Consider the following 23,148-nt stretch of genomic DNA (forward strand, 5'->3'; position numbering starts at 1 on the left):
CAGGCCTTTCTAGGGATGGCACAGAGGGAGAGCAGGCCAGCTTCCTGCAGCGAGTGCTGCCTGCGCCCGGGGCGGAAGCTGACCAGACGAGGGCAGGGCGGGCCGGAGACCCAGCAGAGGGGATCCCAGGTGTGAGGGCAGCAGGCAGTGGAGGAGAGCAAAGGTGGTCAAGGCAGGCAGGCGGCGCGGCTGCAGAGGCGGCAGGACTGCAGTGCAGCAGGCTGAGTTGGCACTGTCTCTGAGTGATGTTGCTCCGGCTGTCAGGTGGTGCCAGGGAGACAGGACTCGATGCCAGGGAACATCACCAGTGTGGAGGGCCCCGCACAGCTCAAGCCCAGGGCGGGTTAGTGGGGCTGATTGGCAGGACTGAAACCGACTGAGCGACAGAAGAGGCCAGGTGACTTTGAAGTCTCTGACTTGGGTGTTGGGGGTTCTAAAATAAGGAATGCAGGGATTGAGGAGGGCAGATGACAAAGTGGGTTTGGGACATGCTCTGCCTGGTTGGTGTCCAAACACTGGACTTCCAGTCCTTGTCCTTTAGCCACGTCCTCCAGCCAAGGTGCCCTGACCACACTCAGCCTGTACCACGCCAGCAGGAGGATTTTGGGTTGGAGCCTGGGATCCTCTAACTGCTCTGCCGGTGACCTTGGGTTTCCTGATAGAGCCCTTGGGGAGTCCCCATGCCATCTGGAGCTGAAAGCCTGCAGCCTTGACTCAGGCTTGGCAGCACAAACTTCCCTTCTCAGATTCTCACACTCAGAGCTCAAGGGGTGGGTTGGGGCTTGGGCGTGTCCTACTGGCTGGGCGGGTAGTATACTAGCAGCCAGACAGACAGCTTTGGGAGACTCCCTTTCTAGGAGTCCCGGGTCAGCCTGTGGAAATGCACAAGGAGACTCCATGTGGTGTGATGCGGCGAGGAGGGGTGGGGTGCACTGGGCACCCTGGCCTGAGCCCTTCAGGGAGGGGCCTACTAAGAGGAGGGGTGAGGGGTCACAGGTCAGGCCTATCCACCATGCTGTTCTGACTCCCTCAGAAGCATTTGGCTTCCAGGGCTTTGTCCAACTTCAGATCTCACAGGAATAACTTTCAGCTGTTCATCCTCTCCTCCAGGTGTCACTTTTGGGGGTTGGGGACGCATCCTGGGGTGGGAAACAGACTCCCAGGTACACAGACACCTGTGGGCTGGATGCTGTCTGAGCCTGTACCAGCTGGCTCTGTCTGGGTAACAAACCACCCCCAGACCTCGTAGCTTAAAACAACGCCCATTTTATGTGGCTCATGATTCTGCTGGGTGGAGCCTACGGCCCAGGCCCACTCATGTCAGCCAACAGACCTGTGACCTCAAATGGCCTCCTGTGTCCAGCGGCCAGCGGCCCCATGGTTTCTTCCAAATGGCCCCTCCTTCTCCAGGCTAGCTCAGGTTCCAGTTTCAGGCTCCAGCACAGCCAGAGAGCCAGCTTCCAGGGGCAAGCACTTCCTGATCCTCTGCCTGCAACCCCTGGTTCCTTCATTCCCTGGTAGCCAGTCTGGTCAGATTGCAGTTGGCCTGAGAGGAGTGAAAAGACCTCTTTGGCCTCTGAGCTCCACAAAGCCACCTCCTGCTTTGGGAATGAGGCCAGAACGAGGTCGGCAGTGGCAGTGGCGGGTAGCAGCAACAGCCCTTTCCTGCCTGGGCAGGGCCTGTGCAAAGAAGCATCCAGAGACAGAGGCTGGTAGAGCAGCCTCATGAGATGGCACCGTTGCCCGCACGTCACTGCATGATTGACTCAGACCAGGAGCTGATGAAGGTTTGAAGGCCAAAGAGCAGAGCTGGGAAGCAAGGCCACAGGTGTGGGAGGTGCAGGGCAGGGGCCATAAGGCTCTGTAGGGGCTCATGCAGAATCCAGGGCCCTTCCTTGAGGTCCCCCACTGCCTCTGGCTGGCCAGGTCTGCCTACCCCTCTCCCTCCTCCCCATAGTGTCCTTAGCCCTGGGCCTCCCACACCCCCAAATCCACACATCTGTCCCCAGATCTTGCTGGATTTTCATAAACTTCCACTTGGTCCTGAAAATAAGACTCACGCCTGACCCTGACCAGTCTGTCCACTTCCCACCTCCATGTCTGGCTCATGGCCCGCGCCTGAGGCTCTAGCCTCCTCCTCTTCCAGGCTCTGTGCGGGAGCTTCTGGTCTCCTTCCACATTACTCAAGGGTTAAGCCCTGTGTGAGTCCTCGCAGCCCTCCTCCTGGGTGCCCACCCAGCCCCGACACAGGCCTCCAACCCAAAGGCAACACAGTGTGTGCACAGCCTGCCAGCTTCTCAAGACCAGCCTGACGTGGGCTCCCATTAGCCACCCCTGTGGTCCCTGGTATAGGCAGGTAGGGAGTCGTTTGGGGACCAGGACTAGTGAATGAATGAGATGTAAGGACCATTACCAGCTTCTTCAGCATTTCCGGGCCTGCTGGCATCTCCCTGGAGTCCGGGTCTTGGCACCTCCTGTAGTGGGTTCAGGCAGGAAGGGAGCCCGGTGCACACAGGAAAATCCACAGGCTCTGCAGGCCTGGGGGCCTCAGTTTAAATCCTGACTCTGCCTCCTGTTGGTTGCCAAGAAAGGCCAGCAATTCCCTTAGGCCTGAGCCTCAGTTTCCTCATTACAGAACAACTAAAGCAGTGTCTAAGATTTATAGGGAACACCTGTGGCCCACTCTGCATCCACCCGTCTTCTTTTAGAAATAGCTTTTCAAGTTTTCTGAAGAACCACTCTCCCCAACTCTATCAACGATTCCTGTTCCCCCCTTCCCACCACCTTCACCTCCACACAGGGAGAGGGTTCTAGAGAGCAGAGCCAGCAGAGGCACACAGCCAAGGGATGGAGAGACTGTGCAAGGTCATTGAGCACCTGGATCCAGCCAGACCTGAAGTTAACATGAGCTAGCAAGTTTCCCTTTTTGTTTGAACTGGGTTTTTGTCATTTGCAACAGGACTTCTCTGTGAGAGAGCGTTGTTCTGGGAAGCAAATGATCTGCTGTCAGCGCCTGGCTTCCCTTTCCTTTGAGCCAAGTTGAGGTGGCAGGTTTGACTCTTCCCAGCCTGGGGAGGGGAGCACTGGCTTACACTGACTCTCCCCTCAGGGCAGCTTCAGAAGCTATCCCAGGCCCAGCTACAGACTCTGCCATAGGGACCACAGGGCAAGACTCAGGAATGGACTTTGTAACTGGAGAGGAGCAGACAGACGTGCTAGTGGCAAAGTCTGAGGCACTGATAGGGAGGTGGGGGAAGCGTTTTGGGATTTCTTCAACCAGACCAGTTGGAAGTGAGGCACCCACACACACCTCACCTGGTGAGCTCCTATCCATCCTTAGGGTCCCAGCTCCGACTTCCACCCCTCTGTGCCCCCACCCACAGCTACACACCTTTAGGTAGAGGCTGGAGGCTCCTGTGAGTGAGTCCCTACAGTCTTCACCTGAGGGGCTGGAGGCCAGGCCTGGGGGGCTCCAGTGGATGGGGCTCTACTCCCCAAACTCCAGCACCCCTGAAGGACCAGGGCATGTTCAACCATTTCTATCCACTTCTTTCTCCCTCATTGTTTTCTGGGGGCTTTGGATTGGGATGAGGGAACGAGCTCCTGACAGTGCACATGACATTGTGCATTCCTCTCCTTGGGTCTCGGTGTCCACCATGCAGGATGACTGTGCGAATGTGTGTGCATTCATGTGAACTGTGTGTCCAAGTACGCAAGTGTGTGTGTATGGGTCTGTGTGCACATGTCCATCCTGCGTGTGTATCCATGTGTGTGCACACGTGAGTGCATGGTGTGCCAGCACACATGTGCAAGCATGTGCATAGGTATGTGTGTGTGTACCTGTCCATTCACATGTGTTCATGTCTGTGCATGTGTACTTGAGTTTGTGCACAAGCAGCCAGCCATGCTCGGCACCTGCGGATCCTCACGGGCTCTTCCCAGCCTGGATATCATCTCATTTCTCCACTTTCTCAGAGCCAGATCTTTGCCCCTCCCCTGCTGGAGACTGTGTGTGTGCTGGAGCCATCTGTAACACTGCATTGGAATGTGAATGTGTGTGTGCTCTCATGTGTACCTACACCTCAGTACCTCCACGTGTGTGGTAGGAGGTCAGGTCTGAGAGAGAAATGCACAGGTGAGGGGTGTGTCCAGCAGGGTGTGCACCTGGAGGCGGGTGCTGCAGGCTCATGCCCTGGCTGAGTGACCCTTAAGCAGGAGTATTAATACTCATCCCACCAGTTGCTTGGTGATGACATTGGTTGTATCATTCAGGGTCCAACCAGGAAAACAGCACCCTTGCTTTTGAGCAGGGGGAGTTGAATGCAAGGGATTGGTCACAAAGGAGATGGAGGAACTGAAAACCCAGATGGGATAGTGTGAGAGGTAACTCAGATCAGCAGCCATAGGACCTCCCGCCACCTGGGGCTGCAGAGACAGAGGGAAGAGGCAAGATCACCCAATGGAAGCTGGCACCGCAGGGGCCCTGCACAGGGAAGCTGGGGCCTCTGAGGAGACACAGCAGCTGTTGAGAGAGCTACCCGTGGCAGAGGAGGTGGAAATTCCCTGGCTTCGCTCTGCCCTTAGCCGTAGTTAGTGCCTCCCATGGCGGGAAGCTGGAACCGAGGCAGCTAGGAGCTGCTGCCGGCCACCCCCTGTGGTAAAGGAGTGGGTCTGAGAAAAAGGCCCAGGAAGGCGCATTAGTGGGACCGTGTGGGCTGTGTTGAGTGTGTGTGTGCCTGCATGTGTGCCTATGCTCGGGTGGGCATGTAAGATGTAGCTGGAATGGCAGGTGTGTGCATGTACCTGTGCACCTTTATTCCTTGTGTCGACAGGACAGCCTGCAGAGAATAGTGCTGATAATCAAACTGAGCATGTATCAGACCTTTACCATGTGCCAGGTACTGTGCTGAGCCCTTTATAAATACCTACTTGGTAAAGATTTCACACAACCTTGTGAAGTAGATACTGCTGTTATCCTCATTTTATAAGTGGGGAAACTGTGGCACAGCGTGTGAGTGATTTGCCGAAGATCATGCAGTCTAAGAGCTAGGGCTGGGCTTGGAGCTGCCTGGCTCCAGAGTCCTGTGCCCAGTAACAAACTGTGCCTGCTGTTGGAGTCAGGGCCCTGGCTGTGTGCCGGGCGGGGCTCTGACACCCAGAGTCTTACTCCGCTCAGCTCCAGGGACTCAGCTGAGGGGCCAGTCCATTCCCCTCGCCTCTCCAGATGGGGAAGGTGGCCCCTGGCAGAAATGGCTGAAGTTTGTTCCTTCCCACATCATTACTGGCCTGGGGAAGTCCAGTGACCCCAGGCGGGGATCTAAGCCAGGCATCACCAGCAAGGTGGCTGTGAGCCCTGGAACAACAGCCCAGGTGAGGTGGGAGAAACTGGTCCTGCCTCAGCCTCTCACTGCCACCTCACCCTCCCGTGGCACTGCCACCCCCAAAGGTGCAGATGTGGCCACGGATGCCTAGAGTCAGGTGGCTAGGAGGGGAGTGGGAGCACCCAGGAAGGTGCCAAGTGGTCACCGTGGTGCTGCCACAGGAGATGAATCACTGAGACCTTCTGGGAGGACTCATTGGGTGAAAAGCATCGAAGCCTTTCAGAGTGTGCAAACTCACAAAAACAAGCAAAACAAACCCCACAACATTCCTCTGTTTGCTATTTACAAGAGACATCACCTTAATTATGAGAGCACAAGTTGATTGACAAGAAAGGAATAGAAAAAGATAGTCCTGCAAACTGTAAGAAAGCTGAAATGGTTGTATTAGTATCAGACTGAGCAGACTGAGACAGGAAGCATTATAGGCAACAAAGGGGGGGCATTTTGAATAACAGAAGGGACAGCTCACAGGAAGACTTAGAACCCCGAAATAAAACATGCGTGCACCTAACACAGAGCTTCAAAATACAGGAAGCCAAACTGGCAGAATGGAAAAAGCAATAGCCCAATCCGGAATCATCACTGGAGATTTGGGAATGTGCACACCGTTTGCATAGCAATTCTAGTTCTAAGAACGAATCCTAAGGAAGGAAGCATGTGTGCAGGTCCTGTGTCCTGGGCGCTCGTCCTGATGTCTGCTCACTGCCTCCTCCCTTTGTTCACACATAGCCCTGGAGCGCCCACCCTGGAGCCGGAGCATCCAAGCCTTGAGCCACTCCTGAACATCTAAGTCTGTTTTCTCATGTGTAAAGTGGGGACAGGCATAGGCACCGTCCCCTTAGGGAGCTGAACGCTCATGGAGTTGGGAACACAGGCAGGGCAAGTCTGCCCCCCAGGAAGGCCTTGGCTGCTGAGAGCCACTTCACCAACAGTACGCCCTGGGGGCCAGGGGCTTCATCCCTTGCCTGGTGATGGGGTGGGGTATAAAGGGTGTCTTCACTGGGAGTGACTTGGAAGCGGATCCCAACTCAGGAGCTAGCCCAGCCCACCCTCTGCCCACTGCCCCCTCCCTCACCACATGGGTGTGGACCCCGGTACCTCCTGAGAACTGCCCTGCAGGTTTATCTCTGAGTCAGCTGCTCAAGGGACACAGAGAACTAACATTACGCTCTCCCCATTCTATCCCAGGTGCCCTCCAAGCAGTAATGATACCAGTCCATTTCCTCATGGGCTTAGGATCTAGCAGGAAAGGTGACATTTGCCATCAATTGTGGTGAGGCCCCCAAGCTCAGGGCCTTAGGGCTTGGCCTAGGTCAGTGGTCCCCAGCCTTTCTGGCACAAGAGGCCAGTTTTGTAGAAGACAAATTTTGCATGGATGGGGTCGAGGCAGTGGGGAATGGTTTCAGAATGAAACCGTTTTCCCTCAGGTCACTGGGCATGAGCTAGATTCTCATAAGGAGTATGCAACCTAGATCCCTCGCATGTGCAGTTTACAATAGGGTTTGCACTCCTATGAGAATCTGATGCTGCCTCTGATCTGACAGGAGGCGGAGCTCAGGGAATGCTCGCCGCCCACCGCCCCCGTTCCTAACAGATCAGGGACTGGTACTGGTCCACAGCCCGGGAGTTGAGAACCCCTGGCCCAGGTGATGCGAAGTTAGAGGGCTGAGCTGGTGCTAGCCAGGTGAAGGAGCTGCTTTGTTCATGCTTTTTTCAGGGGGTGGGGGTTCTTTTGTTGTTTAGAGACAGTATCTCACTCTGTCATCCAGGCTGGAGTGCAGTGGCTCGATCCTAGCTCTCTGCAGCCTTGACCCCATGGGCTTAAGCGATCCTCTTGTCTCATCCTTCCAAGTAGCTGGGACTACAAGTGTGTGCCACTAGTGTTTATAATAGTGTCAAAATATTGGAAACAACCTAAATGCCCAACAATAGGGGATGAAATAAAATGTGGTACCTCCATAAGACAGCTCTAAAGCCTCTAAGAATAGGGATACTGAGTGTATTCACGTGGCACTTTCTCCACTCCATTTAAAGAAGTAGCATGCACTGTACAAACCCATTCTTTAAATGAAAAAAATCTTACCTATGCATATGTAAAAATATATAGATGCCCAGAGAAAAAGGTCAACAGCATTAGACATTAAAATGTTATCGCGCTTTTCTCTGGGGATAGGATTATGGATGTTTTGGTTTTTGTTTTATAATTGACTGTATTTTCTGTTTTTCTAAGTTAATCTGAATTTTGTTTATTACCCCCAGGCTAGAAGCCTCCTGAATGTAGATGTTGGACATGGTCTTCCACAGTCTGGGCCTGTCGGGTCGTGGCCAGGCCGGGGTCCGCTCTTCCGACACATCTGGGGTCTTCAGTGGGTGCTACCTGGGCCCAGCTGTTCAGCCCCCAGGCCAAGCCTGGATCTCCTTGAGTATTTTGCTTTCCCTGCCTGCCAAGCAGAGAGAGGCAAGGGCATAAACCCTGCGGAGGAGGAGAAGGGGGAGGAGGGACAAGGCAGGAGGCGACTGTGTGCCAGAGGGAGGCCCATAAAGCCATGGGAGTGGCAGCCGCAAGAGGGGTCTCCGTTGTTTATTCACCCTTTGTGTTTCATCTACTGAAGATGGAGCATGAGCAACACGAGGGAAAAGCCCTGTCCTCTGAGCTTAGAGATCAGTGGGGGAGACAGACTAGATCAAAAACAGGTTCTATAGGGTGGTACACAATGCAGAAAAAGCAGAGGGGATGGGACAGCCCGAAGCAGGCTGGGACAGGGGCTGCGGTTCCCTGCACGCCTCCTCTCCCAGGAGAGACACCCACACACAGGCGAGCCACCTCATTGCCCTGGCCCTGGGACCAGCACCGCCCAAACCGGGTTCTCTATAAGGAAAAACACTTCCCCCTCATATGTGATAACCTGCCTCATTAAATTTAATGGGCTGGTTATTCCCGTTAAATAAACATCAACTAATTATGAAAAACATATTTGCCGAAGTTTGACTATGAAATGGACGAGCCAATTACATGGTTATTCAGCCTCAAAACACACTCAGTAATGAAGTGGGGTGCAGACTAGCAGTGGGTGGGATGGGGGAGTGCCTGGAAGGCAGAGATCCCCTCTACCCTTTCCCATGCTGCAGAGCTTGGGGGGCCTCCAAATGTCAGCTTGCTGGACAGAGGCTCGGTGTCGGTCACCCCCTCCCGCACACGTGACAGAACCCTCGCTGAAACTGACTACCGCAAAGAATGTGTGGGCTTCAAAAGTCCAGGAGTGAGCTTCAGGCCAGCTGCATCTAGAGGCTTAACCACAGTTACTGGGACCTGGGCTTTCTCCTTCCAGCCCAGCTCTTTCTGTCCCCATTGTTTTGTTCCCAGCTTTCCATGGGTCCAAGCTCTGGTGTAGCTTAGCAAGGTCCTCTGCTGAGGGGCTCACCAGGCCAAGATGAGGTGAGGCACCCCGTGTGTCTCCGTGAGAGTCTCCAGCAATGCTCACCTTACAAGGTGAATTTCTCTTTCCCTGAACTTCCAGCTCAGGGTTAAAGGTCAGATAAAAAAAAAAAAAAACCCTAGCACTAACAAAGTAATATTAGAAAATCCTCCAGGGAGACCAGTAAGCATAAGAAAAAAACTATTCCACATCATCACGACTAACCAGGGAGATGCAAACTGAAACCACCAGGAAGTGCTTCTACATCCAAGCAATGGCTGAGGTGAAAGGACAGGCAATACCCAGCGTCAGTGAGAAGGAGCAACCCCCGGGGGCTCACTGCTGCTGTGAGGAGTATGAAAGGATGACAGTTGCTTCGGAAAATGGCTTGCCAGTTCCTTACAAAGTTAAACATTCGCCTACACTGCGATGCAGCAATCTTACTCCTGAGTTAATACCCAAGAGAATGAATATGTATGTCCTCTAAATAGTACGCACAAGAATGTTCATAGAGCCTTACTCATCACAGCCACAAGGTTAAAATAACCCAAGTGCCCATGGAAAGTAGAATGGTTAAGTTGTAGTTTATTCACACGATGAAATACTACAGCATCACGAAAAAGAACACACTCGAGCTCCCTGTAGCAACATGGATGGATCTCTCAGACACCTCGCGGTGAGAGACAGAGGCAGATACAGAAAAATTCACGGTTGTATTAGCTTTCTGCTGCCTCCTAACTAATGACCACAAACAGTCACTTGCAGCAATATATGTCTGTCCCCTGCTTTCCGTGGGTCAGAGCTCTGGTGTGGTGCAGCGAGGTCCAAGACTGCCCTCCAGATGTGGCTAGCCTGGGTTCCTCTCTGCAGCTCAGGCTCCTCATTCAAGCTCACCTGGATATTGGCAGAATTCATTATCTTGCTGGAGGATCGATGGGCTGTCTTTTTGCTATCAGCTCAGCTAGAGGCCACCAGTCGTCCCCTGCCTGGAGACTTGCTCACAGACTCTCCATTGCCAGCAAAGAGATCCCTTGTATGTGTAACATAATCATGAGAGGGACATGCCTTCACATTTGCCCAATCTATTGCTTGGAAGCAAGTCACACACTTAAGGTGGGGGGGATTATAGAGATCTGACTCATGGGAGACCTGGAGTATGTCTGCCATGGTACTGGATGGGTCTGTTTATATGAAGTTCAAAGATAGGCAAAACTAACCTATGGTGAAGGAGTCTGGATAGGGGTTCTCTGGGGGGCGAGGGGTGGGGTCAGAAGGAACCTTTGTTTTGTGGAGATTACACATGTATTTGTGTAGAAGTGTAAAGATGCATTCATTGAGCTGTGTGCCTAAGGATTGGGGACTGCATTGTATGTGAAGGAAATAAGAAGGAGAGAGGGAGAAGGGAAAGGAAAAAGGAAGGAAAGAAGGGAGGAGAGAGAGATCTATCTAAAAGCAGCTCTTAGTTTGTATGTTTTTTTGCAGAGAGGCAGGATGTCCCTCTGTATCTGCACGTTGGACACAGTGTATACGTCTCTTCATGGACACAGGAGACACCCATATCAGTTTTTGCTCTGGTGAGCTGGGGGCAGGTGCTGGAGGGAGGCCGACTTCATTGTATCCTTTTATGCATTTCTTGGATTTTTTTTTTACAACGAGCATATATTTTAATAATTAAAACATCTTAAAAAAAAAAAAAGGCCAGACAACTCAAAGGGTAAAGTGTACTTGGGGCGGCGGTGGCTGTGATATCAGAGCAATTGTCCCCACACCATCCCCACCTTATAGTGTGAAGTTGAGAGGTGAGTGCAGCTGTAAGTTGGGGAGACTGCTAGCATCTGTTCCAGGTTGGGGAAAGTCTCTTGTATTTTCCTCCTAGTGGCTGCAGCAAAGGGTCAGGTAGGGACACCACACCTGGGAATGCACACAGAGGAAGGTGAAACCAAGAAATAGATGCCTGGTGACATTATGGGAGTCCCCGGATTCAGCCCTGCCTGAAGCCAGACAGGGAAGCACATTGATGAATGTCCCTTGGGATGAAGCAAAGCCGGGTTTCAGCCAGCTTCCTCCGGTGCTGTCCTGCCCATGGTTTATGTCCGGTGTCTACTCTGACTGGCTGTTAAACATATACATATTTTTCAGTTTTTAAAGATGGAGTCACACTGTGTTGTCCAGGCTGGAGTCAACCTCCTGAATTCAAGTGATCCTCCCCCCTCAGCCTCCCAAGTAGCTGGGACTGCAGTCGCATGCCACTGCACCTAGCTTTGGCTGTTAAATGTTTAAATGTTTAAATATTTTAAACATTTTGGTGTTTATTCCTTGAGCCCAAAAAGCTCTGCCATCTGGATGGGGTCTCCAGGCCATGGGGCTTGGAGCTAGGTGCTGTGTGTTCAGGTCCAGCTCCTCCCTTCGCTGCCCTGCTGCCCCCTCCTCAGTGGGCCTGCGTCCCTGGGGCTGGTACCTGGCACACCACGTGCCCAGGAAGGGTGGGCAACTCGGTTGGCCTGGGCTTCTGAGGGCACAGGAGAGCTGGGCTGGTTCTGCCTGCGCATTTTCTGTGGAATGCAGACCATGCTGGCAACACCAGGGCCTCGGGACACCTCTGCTTCTGACGCAGGCCCAGGACAAGGGGTGATGCCCTGTGGTGAGCTGCAGCTGCTCCCAACCCAGGCCGGGTGGGCGGGTGCTTCAAGGCAGGCTTCCCAGAAGAGGAGGAGCCTGTGCGGGGGCTGGAGGAAGGTCAGCAGGGTGACCTCAGGGGAAATAAGTTGTTCCCTCTGTCTCCAGAACAGAGGAGCAGAACAAGCATCATGTGCAAAGCTCGTGGTGAACCGGGGAAAGCACAAAGCACCCCCGTGATGGAGGGTGGGGGTAGGGTAGGAAGAGAGGCTGGCAGGGGGAGGGCGACTCTCTGCTTCCTCCGGGGGCCTCTGTGGCTCCGTCTGTGGCTGTCCAGAGCAGTTGCCAAGTATGCCCCTGGGGCCTGTCACTTCTTCATGCCTTGGTTTCCTCATCCATGTAAAGGGGGCAGTCGTGGCCCCTCCCCACCCACCCGGTGGTCAAGATGCCTTGGGGAACCTGGCATAGGGCCGGCCCTTCAAATTTCTTTGCTCTGGTCCTCACAGAGACCCCAGGGCCACGTGATTTGTGGTGTGGTCCCGAAAAGGCACTGAGGGATGGTGTCGGGAGGGGACCCCATGTTGCTGCCTTCAAACCCTGTGCTCCTTCAGATGAGCCCCCAGCTGCCATGGTGGCATTCCCCGCTGGGCCAGGGTTGCTCCATAGGGCTGAGGCAGAGTATGGCATGGCGGTTAGAAGAGATCCCCAAACTCCCACCCTCCCTTTCCAGCTCCACTCCCACCCATGCACCAACCCATCAATAGTGCAGGCTGCTGCAAAGAGGCATGCATGGGGCTGGGGGTGGGTAGGGGGCTCCCAGCAGGCTCTCCATGGCTGGGGCTGGAATCCAAGGCTAGCAGCTCAGGCCCCTGGAGGCAGCCTGCTGCTGGTCAGGTGGCAGATTGTGTTTTCCAAAGACTGCCTCCCCTGCACATCCGTCCTGCAGGGCTTTGCAATGCACAGTGGGCCTGTCACCCCTGCCAGAAGAGGGGGCTGTGCTCTGTTCCCTGGAGAGCCATGGGGCTTGTCACCAATCTGCCTGATGCAGCGTAGCCCAGCGGTGGTGCCCTCCAGGCTTCTGAGCCCCAAACCCCCGCTTCTCCTCCTCTGTACTTCCTCTCCCTGCCCCCCTGGATGGGAGCTGTGCATGGACACATAAGAAGGTCGGCTGCCCTGAAGCCACCATGCTGGAGAGGCTGTGGAAAGGCCCCACAGAGCTAGACAGAGCTGCCAAAGAGCCCCGCCCCAGGGGAGTCTTGCCAGACAGGTGGGTGAGGAGCTGCAGCCTGTGCAAGTCCCAGCTGAGGCCTCGGACACTGGGACAGAGACCAGCCTTTCCCACTGTCCTCTCTGAATTCCCTGCAGAGACCATAAGAGAGAAGAGCAGCTACTGGCTGAAGCCACTACATTTTAGGGCGACTTGTGATGCTGCAGCAACTGATAGCAACTGCACCCCCACAGCCCCTGATGGATGCTCTGCCTGGCACCAGGCTCTGTGCCCCTGAGAAGATGGGCTCCCTGGCTTGCAGAGCTGCTATTTGTGGGGCCGGAATAATAAACAGCTGAATGGACCAGAGACTATCAGTTGGTTAAATGGGACTGGGATGCATTTTCCATCAGGGAATCAATCGGGGCTCCTCTGAAGAGGTGATATGAGCTCTGAGGCCTGGAGAAGGAAGAGATGGCTCTGGGAGCTGGGACCAGGCAGCCCAGCCCAGGATTGCTGTGATGGCCTCTGCTGGGTATGGCCCCCAGAGGCCTGCTGGCCTGTGAGCTCTATGGGGGTGCACAGGGCACTGGTTCTGCCCAAGAGGAAACGCCAGCAGTGGAGTTGGTGCTGGTGTAAGAGCAACAGCAAAGGTATTTTTTTTAACTTTTTATATTGAAATAATGATAATCTGTAACAATTACAGATTCACAGGAAGTTGGAAAGATAATAGAGAGAGAAGCCTGTGTACCCTTCACCCAGTTTCCCCCAATGGTCACATTCTACATAACCACCACACATCAGAAAAGGGACATTGGCACTGGTGTGACAAGGGTGTCAAGCCCTGTGTCACTTTATCACACATGGAGATCCATGTTTCTGTCCCTGTAACCAGGATACAGAGCTGTTCCCTCTCCATGGAGACCCCCTGGTACTCCCTTTCACAGTGACAATCACCCCCCTACCCCAGCTCCTGGCAGCCGCCAATCTCCTCTCCATCTCTATGATTTTGTTATTTCAAAAATGTTATATAAATGGAATTATGCCATTTACATTTTCTGTAATTACTGACATAACTTCAGTCTGCTGTTTTATTTTTTGCTTTGTTTGTTCCTGTGTTTGTTGGTGGTGGTGTTTCTCTATTTTCTTTTTTTTGCCTTGCTGAGTGTTACTTGGACATATTTAAGCATCTATTTTGGTTTTTGTACAGTGTTTTTAGTGTATATCTTTGTATAGATTTCTAGTGGCTGCCATACTGCATTATACATATGTACTTATCACAGTCTACTGCCATCAACATTTTACCATTTCGAGTGACATGTAGAAAGCTTCCCTCTCTTTGTGTCCCTTTTCCCCTTCCATTTATAATATAATTATCCTAAATATTTTTTCTACATACATTGAGACATTCGACAATGCTATAATTTTTGCTTCAACCACCAAATGTAACTTAGAAACCTTCAGAGAAGGGGTCCATTGTATTTACCCATAGTTTTGCTCTTTCCATTGTACTTTCTTCCTGATGTCTCAAGATTCCTTCCTTATCACTTTCTTTCCATGAGAAGAACTTCCTTTGGCCCTCCTTTCACAGTAGGTTTGCTGGCAACAAACTTACTTTTCCCTTCACCTGAGAAGGTCTTGATTCCTCCTCATTCCTGAGGGATAGTTTCACTGGGTATAGAATTTATGGTTGACAGCTCTTTTCTTATGGCACTTAAAAACGTTCCACTTATTTCTTGCCTCCATGCTTTCTGATGAGACATCCATGTTTTTTGGAAGGTGGTTACGTGGCTGCTTTCAAAATTGGGGTTTGTTGTTGTTTAGTTTTTGGAAGTCTGACTGTGATATGTCTTGGTGTGGATTTCCTTGGGTTTATAACGTTTGGAGTTCATTCAGCTTCTTAAATCCTTACATTTATGTCTTTTGCCAAGTTTAGGAGATTGCTTCTTCAATATTTTTTCGGCTTTGTCCTCTTTCTCTTCTCCTCCTGGCAATTAGATGACATGAATATTAGATCTTTTGTTATCTCTCAGAGAACTCTTTTCTCCCACCCCTAGTCTATTTTCTCTCTGTTTCAGACTGGGTGGTTTATATTGCTCTATCTCCAGGTTCACTGCATCTTTCCTTTGTCCCCTCTGTTCTGCTTTGGAGTTATCGATTAAGTTTTTATTCTGATTATTGTATGTTTTTAAAAAATTCTAAAGTGTCCATTTGGTTCTCTTTATAACTTCTATTTCCTTGCTGAAACATTCTTTATTTTCATTTGTTTCAAGCATGTTCATAATTGCTCATCAAAGCACCTTTAGGATGGCTGCTTTAAAAGCCTCATCAGGTAATCCTGATATTCCTTCCTGTTCAACATATACCAGTATTGGTGTATGCTGATTGTATTTTCTGGTACAACTGACATTTCTCTGGTTCTTGCTATGACAGGTGATTTTCTTATTGGATCTTGAAAGTTTGGGGTATTGTATGTTGAGACTCTGGATTACATTTCAATCTTCTGTTTCACAGCTGGCCTCTCCTGACCCCATATGGTAGACAGAGAGGGGTGCTGCCCCATTACATCAGGAATGGGGGAGGGAAACCCAGCATCCCCACTTTAACCCAGGTGTTTTTAGCACAATGAGAAAACTTGGGTTGCTTCCCTCATCTCCAGGGAAGCAGGAGGCTGATCTCTTGCTGCCCTGCTTCTTGGCAGGGCAGTGGGGGCAAGGGCTGCTAGGCCTTAAAAAGAGGGTGCCAGGGATGGCTTTTCCAGAGGCTATGGCCCTGGAGAGGGCTCCCATACTTGGGAACATCTTTGGTGACCTGACTGTGACCCCCAGGATGACAAGCAGCATTCTGGGAGTGGTAGGAGCTGGACTGAGCCACGGACTGCAAACTGGAGGCCTGCTGGCTGGGATCTTCACACTTTTGAAAGGTCTTGTTCACTCCACACTCTCCCAATAACATGTGCATGCATTCCACCGATTACTGCTGCTGCAGCCCTGGCCTGCTCCGGCATTTGGCCCATCTCACTATTTACCTCCATCAACTACTTGGCCCCTGAAGTCATCTGAGTTTGCAGCCCCAGGAGGAGGCAGTGCCAAGTCCCCCCAGTCTCCAGGGATTGCTTGCATGTGTGTGGGCAGGTGGGGGGCAGGGGGAGGGACTCTGCTACTCTGTCTTTTGTGCAATAAAGTATTGACATTGACCTGGTTTTGTCTCCAGACCGGGAGTGGGGTGGTGACAGACCTACGCCCAGAGTGGTCAAAGGGAAAGGAAGCCAAGGAGGGCTCCTGGGGTGGGGTGGGGGCTGCAGAGAGGCTTCCTGGAGGAGGGGAGAAGGAGCTTGGGCCTTGAAAAATGAATGGTGGCTGGACACAGTGGCTTACGCCTTAATCCCAGCACTTTGGGAGGCTGAGGCAGGAGGATCACTTGAGTCCAAGAGTTTGAGACCAGCCTGGCCAAGATAGGTAGACCCCATCTCTACAAAATTAAAAAAAAATAAAAATAAAAATAAAGAGGAAAGGGCCAGGTGGGGACCCTCTTGGCCAGGAGCACAGCATGAGGAAAGGCCTGATGTGGAGGTGTCTTTGGAGCAAGAGTACAGTGTGCAAAGAGCACTGGGTACCAGGGAGACATGGCTGTAGGGTGGCCTGTTGGCCCCACAGGGTCCTGAGCGCAGGCATCTCCACACTACCCACTGTGCCACATGGCAGAACATGGGTTGCAGCGCCCACAGGGGAGCCACACCACTTGCTCTGGAAACTGGGCCCCACCACCACCTGGCTGTGGCCTTGGTCAGAACAGCCCCTGACTTGCTGCTGTGTCCACATGTGTAGATGGGTGACAGCAGTCTGCCCACCTCATAGAGGAGCTCAGCGGATAAGCACGTGGATTCCTGCCTTGTGCGTGCTGAGCATTTGGTCCCAGCTGGATGTGGCGGAAGGTGGACAGCGGGTGGGCTGTGCTGGCTGTGGAGGTGCAGATCGGGGCTGCAGTGGCTCCTGGTGGGTTTGACCTGTCCTGCATCCAGGCCCACTTGTTTGAAAACTGCACCTGGATTTTCTTTGGGGTAACCACTTCCCCAGTTCCACCTACTCACTCTGGAGAGGTCCCTGATCTCAGCCAACTATAGGGCCACAGTGATGGGTTCAAGGGGGCTACACGATCCAATCTGGTTCACTGAGGCTTCATTCTGGGAACTTTCCTGGACCTATGAGGAAAGAAAAGCTTGGAGCTGCCAAGGCCACCAGGAGCAGAAGGGCTGTGTGGGCATGAACCAAGCCAGTGGCCAGCAGAACCCTGCTGTGCCCAAGATCCTGTAGGTCTGAGCTGCTGCTCATTTGAGCCAATAGATGCCTCTTGGAGCCTACGTCCAGTTGGGTTTCTGTCACTTGCAACCAGCAGCAGGGGTGGGCAGAGAATGGTGCTGGGTGAGCCTTCTCTTTGGCATGCCTGCAGCTGGGCTGAGCCCTTCTCCTCCTGTGTAGGGAGGATAATCAGGCAAAACCCTCAGAGTTGGAGGATGAGTCCGTGAACACCAACCATAGGCATCACCTCTTTTCAGGCTTCTGCAATAGTCAGCAGTCTCCCCACATCCATGCTAGCTCCCAATGTCCTCTCCACCCAGTGGCCAAAGTGGGCCTCCTAGAATGCAACAGTGATTCCATCTTGCCCCTACGTCCACTGTCAGCGGCTCCCTGTGGGCCTAGGCTCACAGTTTGACCCCACAGGGGCATGTGGGGATGAGCTGAGATGACCACAGTGCTCCACACTCACGACCCGGCACAGGGGGCATCTGTTCCATGCCAGGCCGCAGGCAGGGTGACAACAAAGTGCACAAGGCCCTGACACCATAAGCAGGGAGGACAAGGGAGGGAACAGTGACAATAAAGTGGTGACACGGGAAGTCAGAGGGAGGAGGGCCACCCAGGGTCTCCCAGGTGGGAGAATGGGTGTAAGTGCCACAGACATAGGGGGAAGATGAACCTGTGTGCCAAGGGACAGGGAGGTTGGCATGTGTGCACGGGAAGGAGAGAGGTGGGAAGCAGGTCCAAGTGTGCGTGTTCTCGCATGTGTGAGTGGATGTGCATGTGCATGCTTGCATATGAGTATATGTGTGCATGCTTGCATGGTGGAGTGTACGTGTGTGCCTGCATGTGTGAATGTACATGTGTGCTTGCATGTGTGTGTGCATGTGTGTGTGAGTGTGCCTGTGTGTATCTGCTTGCATGTGTGTGCTAGCGTGTGTATGTGTGCTTGCATGTGTGAGTGGATGTGCATGTGTGTGCTTGCATGTGTGTGTGCTTGCATGTGTGTGTGTGCTTGCATGTTTGAGTATATGCATGCGTGTGCCTGTGTGTGCATGTGTGCTTGCATGCGTGTTTGCACTTGTGTGTGTGTTTGCATGAGTGTATGTGTGTGTTTGTATGTTTGAGTGTGTGTGTGCGTATGTGTGCACATGTGTGGAGGCATTTCATGTGTTAAAAGATGCCACTAGAGGGTCTGAGCAGAGGGGTCTCCCCAGCTGTCTATTAGATCCCTGTGGACCACAGTGTGGAGAGCAGAGTTGGGAGGACTGCGCTGGCAACTAAGGGTCCCCATGTCCTCCAGGCAGGAGGTGACAGAAGCAGGGGAAGTGAGACAAGGATGGGTTAGGAATATTTGGCAGTGGTGGTGCCAGTTCCAAAGTGGGCTCAGGCAGGAATCCAGATGCCCCCCCAACCAGCTTTGAACCCAGTGACCAGGGATCTGAGGGCCATTCCCCAGAGCTGGGGGTGCCTGGATCCTCCCCATCTCCTTCCTCACCCAGTAGCAGTGGGGCTGCCTCAAGGGGAAGGAGATCCCAAGTATACTTTTGCAGAAAGCTCTGACTCGTACAAATGCAGAACAGTCCCCAGAGCTGCCCCAGGGGCAGGAGCATGGGAAAGCACCAAAAGAAGCTCCTCTCCAGACCCCCCTGAAATGGAACCATGTTCCTAGGAATCTCCTGCACTACTCTACAAACTCCCCAGCCCTCTGAGCTGCCGAAGGCAAACAGAAGCTAAACCAACATGGGAAACCCAGAGGGAAGAGCCCAGCAGCCTGCTGAGTCACTTCCCCTCTATTTGATGTGGGGTCAGGAGCCCCAAAGTCACAGACCCCGGCTCCAACCCCAGCTCCTCCAAGGTTGCTCACCTCCAACTTCTCTGTCTGCATTTGGGGTGCTGCAGTCCCTCCTCAGAGGGCAGTGTCAGGACCCAGTGTGGTCACACCAGGAGCTCAGAGCTAAACAGAGGGCAGCTGCTGCCGGGGCCAGACAAGAGCCGCAGGGGCTCTAGAGCCTGCCTCACACAGCCCATCCATAGCAAGAGGCACTTGCCTCTGTCCCCACAAACTGCCTGTGCAGTCTTCTCCCCACCTTCCTGTGGCGGCACAGCCTTTTCCTTATTGACTCTTGGGAGTTCTTTATATATTCAGGATACACATCCTTTGACAATTAGATGTGTTATAAGCCATCTCTTTCTAGATCCTGACTTGTCTCATTATTTCATTATTTATAACTTTTAATGAGCAAAAGTAACTAATTTTAATGTAGTCAAATTGACTCATATTTTCCTTTCTTTATTTTTTTAGTATCTTGTTTATGAAATCCTCCCCTAGCCCAGGGACAGGAAGCGAATCTGCTCTCTGGTCTCCTAAAAACCTTAGAATTTTCTGTGTGGCGCTGAGACCTAGGCCACCTGGAATCCACAGTTGCTCATGATGGGAGAAGGAATTCCAGGGCATAATGAGAGGGTCACATGAGCAGATTCTCACTGTGATGGCTTTTGCTGCTGCTGTCTGGGGACTGGACAGAAAGGTGTTACCAAGTACAGCAGGCAGAGCAGAGAGGAGGTGCTCCTTCCTGAGGAGCCCAGAGTGGGGATGGAGGGAAGTGGAAAGTTCTGGAATATATTTTTGGGAAGAATCCACCAGGCTGAGGGATGCAGGGGACATGGGGAGCATGGAGGTTCCCAGTAGGGCAACCTGGGGGATGTGGCATGTTTCGCAGAGATGGGGAAAATGAGGGAGGCACCTGGTTAACCAGGAGCTTGGTCCTGGACACGTAGACTCCAGCGGCCCTGGACCTTCCCAAGACGCAGCTGGAGACAGGGGGCTCTACCACAGAGGAGAGGCCTAGGCTCTCCTGGGCACCGTGAGTACAGAGCAGGAAGCTCCTTGAGGAGTGTCTGCCTTGGGGCAAAAGGGCGGGAACAGGCAGACAGCAGGGACAGCCCCTGGTGCTGGTGACAGGTGGCGCAGACAAGAGCTGGTGAACATTCCCCGAGGTCAGCCATGGTGTCCACACTCACTGTGTCCCTCACCACAGCTCTGCAAGCTCTCACGTCCATTTCACAGATGAGGAAATCGAGGCTCGGAGAGCAGTCAGGACTTGCTCTGCCTTCACCAGCCATGAGGATGGATTTGCGCCCACACGTGTGCCTCGGTAGTCCGTGAGGAAAGAAAGCGCTCCAGTCTTGTTTGCCAGGGAAGGGAGGGGAAGTACAGCCCAGTGGCTGGGTCAAGACCACAGACTGGAGAAGCCAGACTCCTGGGATTAGCCTCCCAGCCCGGCCTCCTATCCACTGGGGAACTTGAGCACGTCTCCAGCCTCAGCCCACCCATCTGTAGAAGGTAGCAGAGCCAGCACTGTATTAGTGCTTGGGAAATAAAATAATAAATATAACTTTTGAGGAAGATGTTCTGCCTCATTCAGGGACATGTAAGTTAAAACCACAATGAGGCTGGGCATGGTGGCTCACACCTGTAATCCCAGCACTTTGGGAGGCCGAGGCGGGCAGATCACTTGAGGTCAGGAGTTTGAGACCGGCCTTGCCAACATGGCAAAACAAAAATTAGCTGGGCATGGTGGCACACGCCTGTAATGCCAGCTACTCGGGAAGCTGAGGTGGGAGGATCACTGGAACCCAGGAGGTGGAGGTTGCAGTGAGCTGAGATCGAGCCACTGCACTCCAGCCTGGGCGACACAGTAAGACTCAATGAGGCTGGGTGCCGTGTCTCATGCCTTTAATCACAACACTTTGAGAGGCTGTGGTGGGAGCATCACTTGAACCCAGGAGTTTGAGACCAGCTTGGGTAACATAGAGACCTCATCTCTTGAAAAAAAAAAATTAGCCAGGCATGGTGGTGCCCATCTGTAGTCCCAGCTACTCAGGAGGCTGAGGCAGGAGGATGGTTTGAGCCTAGGAGCTTGAGGTTACAGTGAGCTCTGATTGCACCACAACATCCCAGCTTGGGTGACAGAGCGAGACCCTGTCTGTCTCTAAAAAAAAAAAGCAGACAAGCAAAACCACCTAGTTGAAAAACCAGTTCATGCCACTAGATTTGCAAAACTAAAGAGTGCCAAATATTGGTGAGGATGTGGGACAGCCAGACCCTTCCACACTCCTGCTAAGCTGCTGGGAGTGTAAACTGGGGCTGTCACTTGGGAAGACGGTTTTGCTGTATCTCCTGAAGCTAGACAAATCCTACCCCGTGACCCTGCAGACCGTCCCTGGATCTAAAGGTGCCCACCGAGAGGCACACACAGGATGCTCATCACAGCTTTGCTCATCATGGCTCCAGATAGGCGACAATCCCATGTCCATCGGCAGGAGAATGGGCGAGCAGGAGCCCAACAAAACAGGCTGCGAAGACGATGCCTGCGAGCAGCTGCCCTGTGCCCTCACCACACAGAGCAGACAGAGCAAACAGCACAGGCTGAGTGACCCCGTTTCTGTAATGCCCAGAACAAGCCACCCAAAACAGCGTCCCATTCTGGGGTGCAAATATAAGAGGTCACACCCAAAGAAAAGCACTTAAAGATGAACACAAAAATGAGGGTTGTGGCTGCTCCTGGGGAGGGAGGAGCGGGGTGAGACGCGGAGGGACACCTGGGCCCGGTATGAGTCCATTCCCTTTCCCTGTTAACCATGTGAACTGTAGAGAGTTCCTCTTCTGTAGGGGTGACGTGATTCACACAGCAAAAACCGCACCCCTCAGGCTACAGATGGGGGCCAAGTCCCCAGCCGGGACTCAGCCCTCCCACGACGGGGTTTTCCTGGCCCATCTGCTCTGTTATCGATGCTCCTGTTGCCGGCTTCCCCTTCCTTGGCCTGGTTGCGTCCACCGGGAGGCCCTCCCGGATGCCTCCTGCCTGGGAGTGGCGGTTGTGAGTACAGTAACTGAGTGCTGGGTGTCTGCCCCTCAGCCTTGCCATGCAGGCTGGGGGTATTGCCTGGACAGCTCTGGCCCGTCACCCTGGATTCTGCAGCCCCACACCTCACACCGTGTAGATCCGCTGCCCCACGCTACAGCCGGAGTTCGCGTCTCGCCACGCCTCTGCCGCGGGACTTTCCTCCCTGGGCTGCGTCCCCAGCCGGGAATGCGCCACCAGCCTGGGGCCTGCAGGGGGCGCCCGGGCTCCCCGCGCAGGTGCCCGCCCATCTGACAGAGCGGAACGCGCGAGGCCGAGAGCTGGGAACACCCGGCCCCGCAAGGTCTGGGAACTGCGATTGCCTCCTTCAGCCTCAGTTTCCCCCCCCGTGAAAGGAGGCCATGCTCCTAGCCTGGGCACACTGAGCCAGGCCCTGTTCCTGGGGTCGCGGGCTAGCCCGCTCGAGAGCGGGGGGCTCCCGGAACTGCCCGCGCGGCCCCGGCGCCCAGAGAGTTGAGGCGGGCAGCCGTATCGCCCTTTGAAGACGCGCGGTGGGCCCCTGCAGGCGCGCGGCGCGGGGCAGAGCGCCCTCTGGAGGCCGCCGCCGGCCCCGCCCCCGCCCCGCCCCCGGGCTCTGGGCGGCGCATGCGCGCGGCGCGGGGCTCCGCGGGCGGCGAGAGCGAGGCCGGTCCGCAGCCGCGCGGCGCTCGGCGCCCCATTCATGCTGGGCATCGGCTGCGCGGCCACGCAGCGGAGCCCGGGCGCGGCGGCGGCCTCGGCCTGGGCGGCCTACGCGGCTTCGGCGGCCCCGCGGCGGGGCGGACGGCGGCGGCGGCGCGGGCGGCTGGGCGCGGCGATGGCCGGCGGCGGGGCGCGCCCCGGGGCGGCGGGTGAGTCGGGGCGCAACTTTCCCCGCGGCGCGGGACGGTGGGCGGGGGCCGGGCCGGGCTGGGGTCCGGGGCCGGGCGGCCCGTGGGTGGGCGCGGGGCGGCCTCCGGCGGCGGCCCTCTCGTGAGGCGGCAGGCAGGGGGTGTGCGCGGGGACTGCGGCGCGCGTGGGGACTGCGGCGCGCGTGTCCGCGGCCCGCGTGTCCCTGCGGCTCCGGCCCAGGCGTCCGCGTGTGTCCGGGCGCGGTCGCGGCGCCGACGCGGAGAGACCGCACCCCCGTGCGGCGGGGCTGGGACCGCGGCCCGGGATCCAGCGCCGCGGCCTCCCCCGCCCCCCGGCCGGGCCCGCCGAGCCCCGCGGCAGCTCCGGGGTGGCGGGGGGCGGGCGCTGCCCCTCCACGGAGGCTGGGGAGAAAGTTTGCGGCGGCCCCGCGGGGAGGCCCCTGCGGTGTCCAGGCCCGTCCCGGCCGCTGGA

At 54.4% G+C, this 23,148-nt stretch overlaps 1 protein-coding gene across 1 annotated transcript in view, besides 6 other annotated features; it reads left to right on the forward strand.

Annotated features, from left to right (window-relative positions):
• Nucleotides 944-1,492: an enhancer, noted in NCBI's record as "H3K4me1 hESC enhancer chr3:126680398-126680946 (GRCh37/hg19 assembly coordinates)". NCBI's record gives its function as "activates a minimal SCP1, AML or CMV promoter by ChIP-STARR-seq in primed H9 embryonic stem cells {active_cell/tissue: H9 hESC(primed)}" and the evidence as "EXISTENCE:reporter gene assay evidence [ECO:0000049][PMID:30033119]".
• Nucleotides 1,493-2,039: an enhancer, noted in NCBI's record as "H3K4me1 hESC enhancer chr3:126680947-126681493 (GRCh37/hg19 assembly coordinates)". NCBI's record gives its function as "activates a minimal SCP1, AML or CMV promoter by ChIP-STARR-seq in primed H9 embryonic stem cells {active_cell/tissue: H9 hESC(primed)}" and the evidence as "EXISTENCE:reporter gene assay evidence [ECO:0000049][PMID:30033119]".
• Nucleotides 21,260-21,309: an enhancer, noted in NCBI's record as "active region_20446". NCBI's record gives its function as "activates an Ori minimal core promoter by ATAC-STARR-seq in GM12878 lymphoblastoid cells {active_cell/tissue: GM12878}" and the evidence as "EXISTENCE:reporter gene assay evidence [ECO:0000049][PMID:35858748]".
• Nucleotides 21,570-21,899: an enhancer, noted in NCBI's record as "active region_20447". NCBI's record gives its function as "activates an Ori minimal core promoter by ATAC-STARR-seq in GM12878 lymphoblastoid cells {active_cell/tissue: GM12878}" and the evidence as "EXISTENCE:reporter gene assay evidence [ECO:0000049][PMID:35858748]".
• Nucleotides 21,950-22,169: a silencer, noted in NCBI's record as "silent region_14681". NCBI's record gives its function as "represses an Ori minimal core promoter by ATAC-STARR-seq in GM12878 lymphoblastoid cells {active_cell/tissue: GM12878}" and the evidence as "EXISTENCE:reporter gene assay evidence [ECO:0000049][PMID:35858748]".
• Nucleotides 22,270-22,499: a silencer, noted in NCBI's record as "silent region_14682". NCBI's record gives its function as "represses an Ori minimal core promoter by ATAC-STARR-seq in GM12878 lymphoblastoid cells {active_cell/tissue: GM12878}" and the evidence as "EXISTENCE:reporter gene assay evidence [ECO:0000049][PMID:35858748]".
• Nucleotides 22,504-23,148, forward strand: part of PLXNA1 (plexin A1) — a 54,275-nt gene continuing 53,630 nt past the window's right edge. The window contains exon 1 of the mRNA NM_032242.4: nucleotides 22,504-22,676. The gene's annotated coding sequence lies outside the window, so the exon portion shown is untranslated. The remainder of the gene's footprint in view (nucleotides 22,677-23,148) is intronic.

This window comes from Homo sapiens, chromosome 3 (genome assembly GCF_000001405.40).
Source record: "Homo sapiens chromosome 3, GRCh38.p14 Primary Assembly".
In the NCBI taxonomy this organism is placed as follows: Eukaryota; Metazoa; Chordata; class Mammalia; order Primates; family Hominidae; genus Homo; species Homo sapiens.